Source organism: Homo sapiens, chromosome 7 (assembly GCF_000001405.40).
Source record: "Homo sapiens chromosome 7, GRCh38.p14 Primary Assembly".
Taxonomy (NCBI): Eukaryota; Metazoa; Chordata; class Mammalia; order Primates; family Hominidae; genus Homo; species Homo sapiens.
The window spans coordinates 143,410,972-143,425,365 of record NC_000007.14 but is presented as its reverse complement, the minus strand read 5'-3'; the positions used below and the strand labels follow the sequence as shown (position 1 = coordinate 143,425,365).

Here is a 14,394-nt window from a genome sequence, read left to right as displayed (position 1 = left end):
ATATATTATACTGTGGAATACCCCGCCACAGTTACAAGGATTAGCTAAATCTAGATATGGAGAAAGCTCCAAGACAGCTGAGTGAAGAAAGTTGTTTCAGAAAAATGTATATAGCGTGTACAGCTGATATCAACTATATAAAAATCTATACATATAAAAACATGCTACGTGTAATTATAGAGAGAGAGAGAGAAAGAAAAAGCATGGGGGAAAGTCTGAAAGTTTAAAAATAAACTGATACCCAGGGGACTGAATCAGGAATGGTAGTCAAGGTGCATTTCTGCTTTATATGTAATGCTGGAATGTGTACAAAGAGAACATATGCAGGTATTCATTACATAATTGAAAAAAATACTGGTAAAACAGAAATGTTGAAAAGAATTGCCAGGAAAAAAAGCTGTGCCCAAGTGACAGGTGACAGCATGCTGGCAGTCCTCAGAGCCCTCGCTTGCTTTCGGCGCCTCCTCTGCCTGGGTTCCCACTTTGGTGGCACTTGAGCCCTTCGGCCCGCCGCTGCACTGTGGGAGCCCCCTTCTGGGCTGGCCAAGGCCAGAGCCGGCTCCCTTAGCTTGCAGGGAGGTGTGGAGGGAGAGGCGCGAGTGGGAACCGGGGCTGTGCGCAGCGCTTGCGGGCCAGCTGGAGTTCCGGGTGGGCGTGGGCTTGGCGGGCCCCGCACTCGGAGCGGCCGGCCGGCCCTGCCGGCCCCAGGCAGTGAGGGGCTTAGCACCCGCGCCAGCGGCTGCAGAGCGTGTACGGGGTCCCCCAGCAGTGCCAGCCCACCGGCGCTGTGCTCGATTTCTCGCCGGGCCTTAGCTGCCTTCCCGCGGGGCAGGCCTCGGGACTGCAGCCCACCATGCCTGAGCCTTCCCCCGCCTCCGTGGGTTCCTGTGCAGCCCAAGCCTCCCCGACGAATGCCGCCCCCTGCTCCAGGGTGCCCAGTCCCATCGACCGCCCAAGGGCTGAGGAGTGCGAGCGCATGGCGCGGAACTGGCAGGCAGCTCCACCTACAGCCCTGGTGCGGGATCCACTGGGTGAAGCCAGCTGGGCTCCTGAGTCTGGTGGGGACGTGGAGAGTCTTTATGTCTAGCTCAGGGATTGTAAACACACCAATCAGCACCCTGTGTCTAGCTCAGGGTTTGTGAGTGCACCAATGGACACTCTGTATCTAGCTGCTCTGGTGGGGCCTTGGAGAACGTTTATGTCTAGCTTAGGGATTGCAAACACACCAATCAGCACCCTGTGTCTAGCTCAGGGTTTGTGAGTGCACCAATCAACACTCTGTATCTAGCTGCTCTGGTGGGGCCTTGGAGAACCTTTATGTCTAGCTCAGGGATTGTAAATACACCAATCAACACTCTGTATCTAGCTGCTCTGGTGGGGCCTTGGAGAACTTTGTGTCTAGCTCAAGGATTGTAAACACACCAATCAGCACTCTGTATCTAGCTCAAGGTTTGTAAACACACCAATCAGCACCCTGTGTTTAGCTCAAGGTTTGTGAATGCACCAATCGACACTCTGTATCTAGCCGCTTTGGTGGGGCCTTGGAAAACCTTTGTGTGGATACTCTGTATCTAACTAATCTGATGGGGACGTGGAGAACCTTTATATCTAGCTCAGGGATTGTAAACGCACCAATCAGCACCCTGTCAAAACAGACCACTTGGCTCTACCAATCAGCAGAATGTGGGTGGGGCCAGATAAGAGAATAAAAGCAGGCTGCCGGAGCCAGCAGTGGCAACCCGCTGGGGTCCCCTTTCACAATGTGGGAGCTTTGTTCTTTCGCTTCTTGCAATAAATCTTGCTGCTGCTCACTCTTTGGGTCCACACTGCTTTTATGAGCTGTAACACTCACCGCGAAAGTCTGCAGCTTCATTCCTGAAGCCAACGAGACCACGAGCCCACTGGGAAGAACGAACAACTCCAGACGTGCTGCCTTAAGAGCTATAACACGCACCGCGAACGTCTGCAGCTTCACTCCTGAAACCCGCGAGACCACGAACCCACCAGAAAGAAGAAACTCTCAACACATCCGAACATCAGAAGGAACAAACTCCAGACGCGCTACCTTAAGAGCTGTAACACTCACCGTGAGGGTCCGCAGCTTCATTCTTGAAGTCAGGGAGACCAAGAACCCAACAATTCTGGACACACAAGCTTTCGTGGTTGTCACCCAGTATTCCTGGGTGACGGAAACACTTCCACTGCAGAGTAGCTTTCTATAGAAACAGGCTCTTGGCATAGTGTCCACCAGGAGATGCTGGTCTCAGCATCTCCTGGTTACTGGAGGGAGCTCACGGAGTTTGGCATTCTTGAGCCTCTCTGAGCTGAGCCCAGCCCACAGCACCCTGATGCCCCACAACCCTGGGCAGCCATATCAGACCCCTGCATCCTTCTGCACACTGCACTTTGACTTAAAACCCAGCCTAGTCCACGTGGCGCCCTCCACTGAGTATGACCTTGGGGAAAGAGAGTAGTCCAGTGCTGAGGTTAGCCAGGCCAGTGAGCAGCATGCATTGTCATCATTAGCCGTAAAGGAGGCATGAAGCTTCACCCAGCTTTTGGGTTTTAAGGCAATTACTTTGCAGCCGTCAAACTGGGCTCCCACCCTCTTCCAGACCTAGACTCTAATAAGCATTAGGAGACCCAGAGACATAACAGGATGGGGGTGGGAGTACCAGATGAGGGTTAGAGTGAACTCCTGGGTCTCCTGTCATCACTGTAAGGTGGAGGGCTTGATGCACTCTGAGGAAGAAGGAGGCACCTCATCCTATGTGACTACATCATAGCCATCTCGGGTATGGTCAGCAAAAAACACCCCCTTACAGAAGCTCATGGGGCTCATTGTCAATATCAAGTATAACAGAAAAATTAGAACTCACCTTTTGGTAAGGCAGCTACAGCAACAGACCAGCACATTTCTCAAGCCCAGTTTGGAGGAAGAGGTTTTATACATAAAAGATGAATTTGTACAGTCATTTCCCCAGGTCCCCCCAGCCTGGGGGACAAATGACACATTGCAATGGCACTAGGCCCTGTGCGCCCTGCCAGCTTGGTCTGTGGGTCTCCAGACCTAGCCCTCTCATGGGCATCCAGCCCCTGCACAGCTGTCCCGGACTCTGCTCCCACAGCAGCTCTGCTGCCTGCTGTTGCTGTCCATCTCCACCGCTGCTCAGCCTGCCCATGACCTGCCACCAGCCTCCTGCAGCTCCCAGCCATAGAGGAGAGGTCTTACCTCTAAGAACTGTGCTCTTTCCATCAGCTTTAGGTAGTCAAGTCTTTAAGGGATCACACAGATCTTTTTTTCCCCATAGATGACACACTTTCAATGGGTATCTCAGAAAGCAGACACCCTGAGAAAACTTCCTGGATGGCAAGACCTGTGTCCCATTTTTAGTTCACACATCTGCATTCTCTCCAACTCTGGATGCAAGTTCCCTGCCTTCCAGGCATCCAATGAGGCAACATTCTTTAATGCTTCTTTACTTTGTGCACCATCTAAACCCCAGAGTCTTCAGAACCTAGCCATTGCTACCAAAGCCTTTGCATAAATAAGATTCCTTGTGTCTACACAGAGTGATGAGAGTTAAATGCAGCAACTGAATGTGAGTTCTGGTGTCAGAACTTCTGGGTTTGAAGGTCACCTTGACTATTCCTAGCTGAATAACCTTGATTTCAGTTTATTTATCAGCAAAATGAGCAAACCACATGAGTTCTTATAAGACTGAATGGCAATGTATGTGAAGGGCTTGACACGGTGCTGGTTCATATAAGAACTGCAAAACAGCTATCAATGTTCTGTCCCAGAGGCGCCTAGAGAGGCATGCAGATAAAGGCCCTGTTCTAACTTTTCCACACAGCAATGTGCATCTTAAAGGCTGTATTATGCCTTATATATGGCTTCATTTTAGTATTGCCTTCTTATCTCTGAACTCTTCTTCAGAGTAAGAATTCTAAAATTATATTGGATCTGGCCAGGCTCAGTGGCTCATGCCTGTAATCCCACCACTTTGGGAGGCCAAAGCGGGTGGATCACCTGAGGTCGGGAGTTCGAGACCAGCCTGACCAACATGGAGAAACCCTGTCTCTACTAAAAATATAAAATTAGCCAGGTGTGGTGGTGCATGCCTGTAATCCCAGCTACTCAGGAGGCTGAGGCAGGAGAATCACTTGAACCCAGGAGGCAGAAGTTGTGGTGAGCCAAGATTGTGCCATTGCACTCCAGCCTGGGCAACAAGAGTGAAACTCCATCTCAAAAAAAAAAGAAAGAAAAAAAAATTATATTGGATCAATTGTGACTTTGTTTCTGAGAACTTCAAGTAAATAGCTGATATGGTTTGGCTGTGTCCCCACCCAAATCTCATCTTGAATTTCCACGTGTTGTGGGAGACACCCAGTGGGAGGTAATTGAATCATGGGGGCAGGTCTTTCCCATAGTGTTCTCATGATAGCAAATAAGTCTCACAAGATCTGATGGTATTATAAGGGGGAGTTTCCCTGCACAAGCTCTCTGTGCCTGCTGCCATCCATGTAAGATGTGACCTGCTCCTTCTTGCCTTTCACCTTCTGCCATGATTGTGAGGCCTCCCCAGCCACGTGGAATTGTAAGTCCAATAAACCTCTTTCTTTTGTAAATTACCCAGTCTTGGGTATGTCTTTATCAGCAGCGTGAAAAGAGACTAATACAATAGCATTCACAAAATTTTAGATCTTAATGCTAAAGGGCACTTGGGAGATTATGTAGTCCTGCCCTTGACTTTAGATAAGATCTTATTATCCCCACTCAAAGCCAAACGAAATCAACAGAATTGCCTAAGATTGCATGGCTAGTAAAAGCTGAGGGATCAAAGCCAAAAGGCTTTGATTTACCCAAGAAAATCGGGACATTTTGTCATTTCCATTGCATGTGAGTGTCCATGGTTCTTGGTGACAGACTCTTAACTCCTTAAGTGCCATGAGAGTTTCTTAAAGTAGTTATGTTTGTCCATTGCTGTCCTCACCAGCCACTTACAATTAGGTGCTTCATAAAGACTTGGTGATAAAGGTAACATTACGATAATAAGGGGCTATCTTTCTATTATCCTATTGTTTGTTTTATTTATGTATTTTAGTTCTGAAAGTTGCAAAAAGGCAGTGAGGGATGCATTTCAAGCTGAAAGAAGAGTGATGAAGAAAAACAGAACAAATCCTCATGAGGAAATAAAAGACCAGTAAATAACTGAGTAAAGAACTGAGTGAACTTCAGAGCACCTTCTGAACAAATACAACCTTTTGGCAGAAGGCCAGACCTTCAGGGAGGACGGCGGAAGGTGTCGGTGCTGCTGGAGAGAACTGGAGAGCAAAGGCACCATCAGAAAGTGACTTTTATTTTTAATCCCGCTAGACTATTAGGAGATACAAAGTGAAATTCATGTCACAGAGCAGAAACATAGAGCAAAATAGGAGGATTTAGAAGAGCAGACAGCAGGAAGAGAACATATCAAACAGAGGAAAGGAAAGAAAAATATCAGGACTTAACTAAAATTTTCATTCATTTTGTTCTACCAGGTGACAAGCAGCAGAGGAAAACAAAAAGACTGCCTTAGTCATGGGTAACTGTCCTTAGTCTTTGGTATCCCATCCTTCCAAGAAAATCAAGACTCTAAATCCAAAAGCACCACATGATGATATCGTTTTTACAGAAGGCATTGCTGGGGGACAGAGATGGAGGATGCATTCCATCCCACAGCCCACTGCAAATCTTCATAAATGCCCCTTCCGTATCTTGGCCGTTTTTAACCAATGCTGTCCTCCCGAGCATCTGAATGACTCTGCCTGCTTCCTGACCTTTTCTCAACAATCCTCATCCAGGCTTTTCTGGTTCCCTGCCTGTCAGTCTCCATTGCCAACCCCATCACTCAAAGTCTCCCATCGGCCAAACAAAATCCTAATTCGTCACCATTGTCTCTAAAGCATTTTCCCAGAGGTCAGAAATTTATTTCCAGCACCCCTACTTTCACACTGAGGTAAGGTTTTTTTGAACCAAAAATATAACTACCAATCTGAATATGGTTATTGGTTAATTTCCCTCACCTCTATATCTAAGCAGCCAACATACCCTGTCATACTACAAGTGAAATGTCACTCATCGCCTCCCTCTATCCACTCATTGCCCAAGTTTGAGCTCTTACTGTTTCTTCCCTGGATCATTATCTCTCTGATTCCAGTCGCTGCCTCTTCCAGCTCTTCCCCCATTCAGCCACCAGAGCCCAAAATGCTCCTCTGAGCACGTGTCTCCCATATTCAAAATTTTACTGGTTCCAGGTTAGATAGGGAAGAAAGTTCAAAAAAAAAAAAAAAGAAAGAAAGAAAGTTCAGTGTAGTTGGTCACCGAGGCTGACTCCAGCCTTAGCCCATCTCCCAGTTCCCCCTCTTTAGCCCAACTCAGCCAGTCACACCACCCTGCACGCCATTCCTTGGACAAAAGCCATTTTCCCATTTCGTACAGGCATCGAGCTGCTGATGCTTGTGTGGGCCTGAAACATTTGTCACACAGCTGACTCTCCCCAGCCCCTGCACAGTCCTGGAAACCCCGCTTCAAGCCCTCTCATCTCTTATTTAGACCAAGACAACAGCCTCCTAACCTACCCATGCTTCTGCCCTCAGCCCTCCCCTGCCTTGCCCCATCTGTGTTCTGCACGCTGGGCAGGTTGATCTCTTCAAAGGTAAGTCAGAGAATATGCATCTCCTTTCACTGGACTCCCTCTAATGGCTTCCATCTCACTCAAAGTCAAAGCAAAAATCTGTGAAATAGCCTGGGAGGCCTTAGGTGTGCTGCTCCCCATCCAACCCCTATGACCATCTCCCTCCTAAAGCTCTGGCCTCCCTGTCCTTCCATGAACCCCATGCATGCCTGCCCTGGACTTTAGGGCTGTTTCCTTGGTCTGGATTGCTCTTCCCTCTGATGACTTTTGTAGCGCATTCTTTTCCTCCTTCAATTCTTTGCTCAAAAGTTACCATATCTGTATAATAGAGCCCTCCTTATGTGATTCCTATTCCCCTAACCCTGTTTTAATTTTTCTCCCAGTGTGTCTCACCATCTGAAGAATGCATTTTGTTATTTTTTTATGTACTGTCTGGCTCCTCCCCCTAGAATGTACACTCAGGGAGGGTGGGGTTTGGGTTTTTTTTTTTTTTTTCTATTTTGTTGTTTGCTGGTATATCCCCAGCACTTAGAACAGTGCCTGACTCATAATAAGATCTCAATAAATTTTTGTTGAATGAATGAATAAAAACTGCCTATTGAAGTCATTCTACTAGGCTCAACACAAAGGCCACCTTTTCCCATACAGTTCCTGTCAAAATTAGCCTCCTGTATTCCCTTGGCCACTTGCTTCTGCCTCCACCTTAGGGCTTACCTCTTTCACATGGTGCATCCCCCTCCCACAGAGGTGCTCCTGGAAGGTAAATGAGTCCATTTGCATGTGAAGAAGCTCAGTCTCAGAGAGGTTAAGAGAAATGTCCAAGGCCTTACACATAGGAGGCAGAGAGCTAGGAGTCTACAGAATCCAAAGGCCACTAAATACCCATTCCATTAACTCCTAGTGCTTCTCAAAAACAAACAAGAACTTTCTAAGCAAACACTCAGTACGGTGGGTATCAGGTTTTAATTTTGGTCTAATATTTAGTACTTCCCCAGAACTGTTGAAACAAAGAAGAAAGGAAGGAAGAAAGGAAGAGAGGGAGGGAGGGGAAAAGCTTCAGTCACTTCTTAATTGAGGCTCTGTTCAGACAACACAGCAGCTTCAGTGTAAGAAGACTTAATCAGAGCCAGGTGCGGTGGCTCACACCTGTAATCCCAGCACTTTGGGAGGCCGAGGCGGGCGGATCACCTGAGGTCGGCAGTTCATAGACCAGCCTGACCAGACCAGCCTGACCAACATAGAGAAACCCTGTCTCTACTAAAAATACAAAAAGGTAGCCAGGCATGGTGGCACATGCCTGTAATCCCAGCTACTTGGGAGGCTGAGGCAGGAGAATTGCTTGAACCTGGGAGGCGGAGGTTTCGGTGAGCCGAGACGGTGCCATTGCACTTCAGCCTGGGCAACAAGAGTGAAACTCCGTCTCAAAAAAAAAAAAAAAAAAGGATTGCTTAAAGCCAGGAGTTCAAGACCAGTCTGCCAACATAGTGAGAGCTCATCTCTTCAGAAAAAAAAAAGTTAGAGTGTAAGCATCTCTCTCTAGCTTACAACCTAACAGACACACTACAAACAGTGGGCACCATTTTTTTCCCAGCCAGCGCCTCCTAGGTGACTTGGTTTCTGGTTTTTTCATATGTATCCAAAGCAGAAAGCCCAAAAGTGAGGCAACATGGTGGCACACCCCACCCTCCCTTCCTCACCTGGTCAAAAGTCTATCATTACTGTGATGACTAGGTCAAGTTAAGAAAGCTACTTCCTAGCCTAAGGGCCTACCATCTTTATAATAGTAGGAATATATAAAAATCGCTGTCACTTTCATATCATGTTGATAAATATTCCCATGGTATTCTAAGATTTTATAAACAGAAATTATCTGTGGCTCTCACACCCAGAATTTGAAGATATAGGTGCAATTACCAAATTTTCCCACTAGGTGGCTCTCATAGTTTATGACCCATGGCCTGGATCGCCTAAACTCAGGGATAGATTTGGAAATGTGTACATTAATTTCTTAACAGAGGTGGTTGTTATCTATATGTTCAAATGTGTCTGTGTCTGGGTAAGTAGATTTATAATACTTTCAAACTAGAACTTGTTAGAAAAAGATATAAATTACCCTATTACGATCCCTTTATAAATAACTTCTTCAAAGCAAAATGTAAAAGAAATCCAATCTGTGCCCAATTAAGAGGTCCCATACTTATCAAATACTTCTTTTACAAGACAACAATATAATATTACCTCCTGACAACAGAACCAGTAACTTCAAATAGTAAGCATGGGTTATGCCGATCTTCTTCCCAACCCTCTGTAGAAGTTACAAGAACTCCTAGCCTAGCTAGAAATAAAACTGAATGTTTTTCAAATAAATTATGCTTGCTTAATGCAGAAGACAGAGCTGATAGTTTATTTCAGCCCTCTCTTCTCGCAGGCTAGCTAAATTAAAATGGACTTCAAGACATGGCTGATTTATCACTTTCTCTTTCCCTCCTGAGCTCCAACCAGTACACTTTTTGACAAGGACCAAGCTATCGCTGTGCTCCCGGGGGATTCCAGTATTTAACACTTGTCTCAACCTGTTCTTATTAAATTTCTGTCATGCCCCAGTTCACTGAGACACATTTGTTCTCTTCCTTTCCCTCCCTCACTTCTACCAGCCCAAGCATTAAGGCAGCGTATTAACTTCTCAGGTTAGCAACACTATCTTCTCAGGCAGTCAAGCAAACAAGTTCAGGTGGAAACACAATGATTTCTCATGAGACGCGCACAAATATCATCGTAAGATATTTGAGTCACAGCCACTTCACATGACTAACCCCTCCACATTTTCATTTCATGACTCAAGAAATCAAATGAAATATTAGAACAATTGGGAATGGTTTTATTTGTACTTTGGTATGAGATATGTGCGGAATGGGGGTAAGGAAGGTATTGAGATAAAGGCTTGTATCTGAATACACACTTGGATATAATGCACAACCCTGTGTGAATTCCCGTTTGACTCCCTTTTTCTCTCCCAACAGCTCCAGAAACGAGCCCATCTCACTCCCTGTGGCTGCTACCATCCACCCTTCAACTTCAGCTTCCCCTTCCACGTGTCCCATCACTAGAATGCAATGCAGGTTCACAGCTTGTCAACTACCTTCTTGTCTCTAAAACAAAGAGAATGATTTAGAGGATGTTAATACTGCAGAGATACATTTAAAAAAAATCAGCACAGGGAGAATTGCCATATGTCCTGAAAATGTTAGAGTGGTATTTATTTTATTTTCATATTGCATCATAATGTAAATGGGTCGAAAGTGATCTCTCTTAGCATCTTTTTTTTTTTTTTTTGAGATGGAGTTTTGCTCGTTGCCCAGGCTGGAGTGCAGTGGCACAATCTCAGCTCACTGCAACCTCCGCCTCCTGGGTTCAAGCAATTCTCCTGCCTCAGCCTCCTGAGTAGCTGGGATTATAGGCGCCCGCCACCACACCCGGCTCTCTTACCTTTTTCTTTAGTTTTCTCTTGCCTCTTCTTGAGATTGAAGCTTCATCCAAACATCCCTTTTAATCCAGAGGCTGGTGCTACTTTCAGCAGACTTTATCCTTAATTCCCTCAAACCCATCTTGCAAATAAACCTGTACAGGAGGACACAAAAATAAAAAACATGTATCCTTAAATTGCATGGTGCCACCAGAAGCTTTTGCTTGTACACTTTCTCATATTTGTACTTTTCTCATATACTATGACCAACAACATTATCATCATTTCCCCCATTTTGCAGATGAGGAAGCGGAGTCTCAAAACAGCTAGGTGATTTGCCCAAGATCACTTGGCTATGAAGTGACAATATTAAAATCTTCTAAAATATAACTTTGCTTTTGACACTTCAGAGAAAACTTCCAACCGCCTCTATCTCAAAACAGTTCTATTTCTAGCAAGAAGACAGATTCCTAAACAGTATCGGGTGTCTTCCTCTTAGCAAACTGACTGGAAGAAGGGAGGACATGCAGGGTTTAAGGGGGAGGGTGTATAATTGGGACCTGTGGCACTGCTTACAGACCGCCTCTGCATACTTTTAATCAATTAAAAAGTTGTTAGGAGGCTGGGTGTCATGGCTCACTCCTGTAATTTCAGCACTTTGGGAGGCCAAGACGGGCAGATTACTTGAGATCAGGAGTTTGAGACCAGCCTGGCCAACATGGTGAAACCCCGTCTCTACTAAAAATACAAAAATTAGCCGGGCATGGTGGCAGGTACCTGTAATCCCAGCTACTCAGGAGGCTGAAGCAGGAGAATCGCTTGAACCTGGGAGGCAGAGGTTGCAGTGAGCCGAGATCATTCCACTGCACTTCAGCCTGGGCAACAGAGTGAGACTCCATCTCAAAAAAGAAAAAAAAAGAATCATTTGGGTTAGCAAAAGTCTAGTTTAAAAAAGGAAGTACGGCCGGGCGCAGTGGCTCATGCCTGTAATCCCAGCACTTTGGGAGGCCGAGGCGGGCAGATCACGAGGTCAGGAGATGGAGACCATCCTGGCTAACACGGTGAAACCCCGTCTCTACTAAAAATACAAAAAATTAGCCGGGCGTGGTGGTGGGCGCCTGTAGTCCCAGCTATTCGGGAGGCTGAGGCAGGAGAATGACGTAACCCGGGAGGCGGAGCTTGCAGTGAGCCGAGATTGCGCCAGTGCACTCCAGCCTGGGCGACAGAGCGAGACTCCACCTGAAAAAAAAAAAAAAAAAAAAAAAAAAAAAAAAAAAAAGGAAGTACGTTTTGTTTGGAAAGATTAAACCTCTCAGAGACACAGATAAGCCGGATAAACCATGAAAGTCGCTCAATGTAGCAATTCAAAGGTAGAACCTAAACCTGTTTAACCACAGGTCAAGAAGTTTTTAAAAATAAGGTGTTCTTTATACAGTGGGATACCATACAGCAATGAGACTGAATCCACACACAACCAAGGAATACATCTTCCAAACGTAACGGTAAATGAAAGAACTCGGACACCAAAGAATGCATATCAGATGATTCCGTTTCATAAAGTTTAAAAACAGGCAAATCCACTCCGTGGTGTTTTAAGTCAGGATATTACTCTCAGGTGGGGGGCGGGGTAGTAAAACAAAAGTGAGGTGTTTGCTAACATCTCTGCTTCTTGAAACCCTGAATAGAGGTTAGGCCACAGGACTGGGAGTCAGACAGAACTAGGTTTAAATCCTGGTTCTGCAGTTGAGTGACTTTGAACTACTTTAATTCCCGGTGTCTCAGATTTTTCCACCTATAAAATGAGACTAATGATACCTTCCTCCGAGGGTTGGTGTGAGAAGTCAATGAAACGATGTATGTGAAGTGCGGCAGCCTGCGTAGGTGCTGTAATAAGTGGTAACTATTATTATCCCCGCCCCTGTTGCCTGGTGGTAAATGGGGATCAGAGAACAGATAGGTAAGAACACAGACAAGAAGGAAAGGGAAGGACCTAACTAGGCTTATGATTAAAGACGTGCAGAATCCACCAGAAGGCTGTACTGGTAAGTGCCATTTCCTCCCTCCCACAGCCCACACGGTCTCCTGGATTTTGCTGCCTGCAAGTTTGGGCTGGCCCACAACAGCCAACCAAAGTCGTTTGGGTCCCATCCATGAGGGCCCTTGCTAGGGGACTTGATACTGTTACAGGAAAGGGGTCTGGATCAAGATCCCAAGAGAGGGTTCTTGGATCTCATGCAAGAAAGAATTCAGGGTGAGTCCATAGAGTAAAGTAAAAGCCAGTTGATTAGGAAAATAAAGGAATAAAGAATGGCTGCTCCATAAACAGAGCAGCCCTCAGGGTTGCTGGTTGCCCATTTTTATGGTTATTTATTGATTATATGCCAAACAAGGGGTAGATTATTCACGTCTCTCCTTTTTAGACCATATAGGGTAACTTCCTCACGTTGCCATGGCATTTGTAAATTGTCATCGGTGCTGGGGGGAGTGTAGCAGTGAAGACGACCCCAGGACCCTCTAGTGGCCATCTTGGTTTTGGTGGGTTTTGGCCAGCTTCTTTACCGCAAACTGTTTTATCAGCAAGGTTTTTATGACCTGTAACTTGTGCCTACCTCTTATCTCATCCTGTGACTTAGAATGCCTTAACTGTCTGGGAATGCAGCCCAGTAGATCTCAGCCTCATTTCACCCAGCCCCTACTCAAGATGGAGTTGCTCTGGTTCACATGCCTCTGACAATACTAGTCCAAAAAATTAGTTTGTACTAATTCTCTCATAGTAGTTGCTAGCAACATCCTGGGTTACCCTGCTGGTGATGTTGGTTGCATTTTGACCAGAGCCTATGGATATACAAGACCATGACCTAGGCTGGGTGTAATTTCACCTTATCCTCAGTCAGAAAGGAGCTGGGTAGGGAGTAGAAGGGGAATAATATGAACAGGGTAGTGTTAACGTCAAGTTTGTAAGAACAAGCCACAGCCTGGGCTGCAGGGACTCTGCAGGCTTTCCTTTCTGACTGCAGAATGAGAACAGGGCCAGACGCCAGAAGGGGAAAGAGGTGTCCCTCTGGGAGGCCCTGTCTGCTACGAGGCCTGTGGTTCCTAGGGGACCAAAAAAAAGGAGGAGTTTTGGGGTTTGATTTTGTAATTTTAAATGATGTCTTAGGGCATCTCTATAGGGAATACTGCCCAGCATCGAAAAAGAGAAACTGTTGATGGAGGCAACAAGAAAGATGGATCTTAGAAGGATGAGTCTTAGAAGGATGGATCTTGGGAGCATCATACTAAAGAGAAAGACCCAGAGTCCAGAGACGGCATAAAATTCTGGAAAGGATAAAACTCACCCAAATGGACAGAAACCCTAAGGCTGGAGGTGGGATTGATTCACAGGAGCACCAGTGAATGTTTTTAGATGCTGAAACTGCTCTGCATCTTGACTGAGGTGGTGGTGCATATACATTTGTGAGAGCCCATTGAACCGTACACTTGGAATGGCTGCAACTTATTTTATGCAAGTTGTCCCTCAGTAAAGTTGATTTTGGAATGGAAAAATAATGATGTCTTAGTAATTGAGGTTGTTCTGCTCTGGGAGCAAGCTGGGAGGCCTGCAGGAGAACTCCAGCAATTCCTAGCCTCCACCATTCTCCTAGCCAATTAACATTTGCTCAGTACCTTACAGTTCATAAAGCACTTTCTCCTCTTTTGATCATTACACTGACTCTGTGGGGTGGACGTGATTAATCTCATTTTATAGCTAAGGAAACTGAGGCACATTATGGCTAAGGGAACTGGCCAAAGTCTCCTGACTCAAAATCCTGCTAGCTTTTTATTTTCTGAGACCATCCCTGAATATAGCCTCAGAAATCATCTAGGTCTAGGGAAACTGAAACCATGGTCCAGAGAACATAAATAATTTGACAAAAGTTGTACTGCTAGTTAAGAACAGAGACTAAACTTGAAGATGTGCCTCCTCTCATGACAAACTAACCAGAAAATGTCAAATCAAGATAATCCTGAAAGGAGACAGAAAGTGGACATTCATTCCCCATATGCAGAGACTTTCAGACCAGGATAAAGAGCCTATCCTAAAACAAAAAGCAAGACTTTTTTTTCCAGGGTTCTAGACTCCATGTCTCACTGCATGGAGCAGTCTCCCCCACTCCACACACCCACCCCCCACCCCCCACCCTCTGGAGTCCCAAGGGTCTTGTAACTTTAACAAACTGCAGCAGCAAGCACATGCATTACCTCACCACA

General features: G+C 45.8%; 1 long non-coding RNA gene across 1 annotated transcript in view; it reads right to left on the bottom strand.

Annotated features, from left to right (window-relative positions):
• The window catches only part of EPHA1-AS1 (EPHA1 antisense RNA 1), a 115,637-nt gene that overhangs the window by 98,084 nt on the left and 3,159 nt on the right, over window positions 1-14,394 (bottom strand). Inside the window, exon 2 of the long non-coding RNA NR_033897.1 lies at window positions 10,167-10,298. This is a non-coding gene — a long non-coding RNA (EPHA1 antisense RNA 1). The remainder of the gene's footprint in view (window positions 1-10,166; window positions 10,299-14,394) is intronic.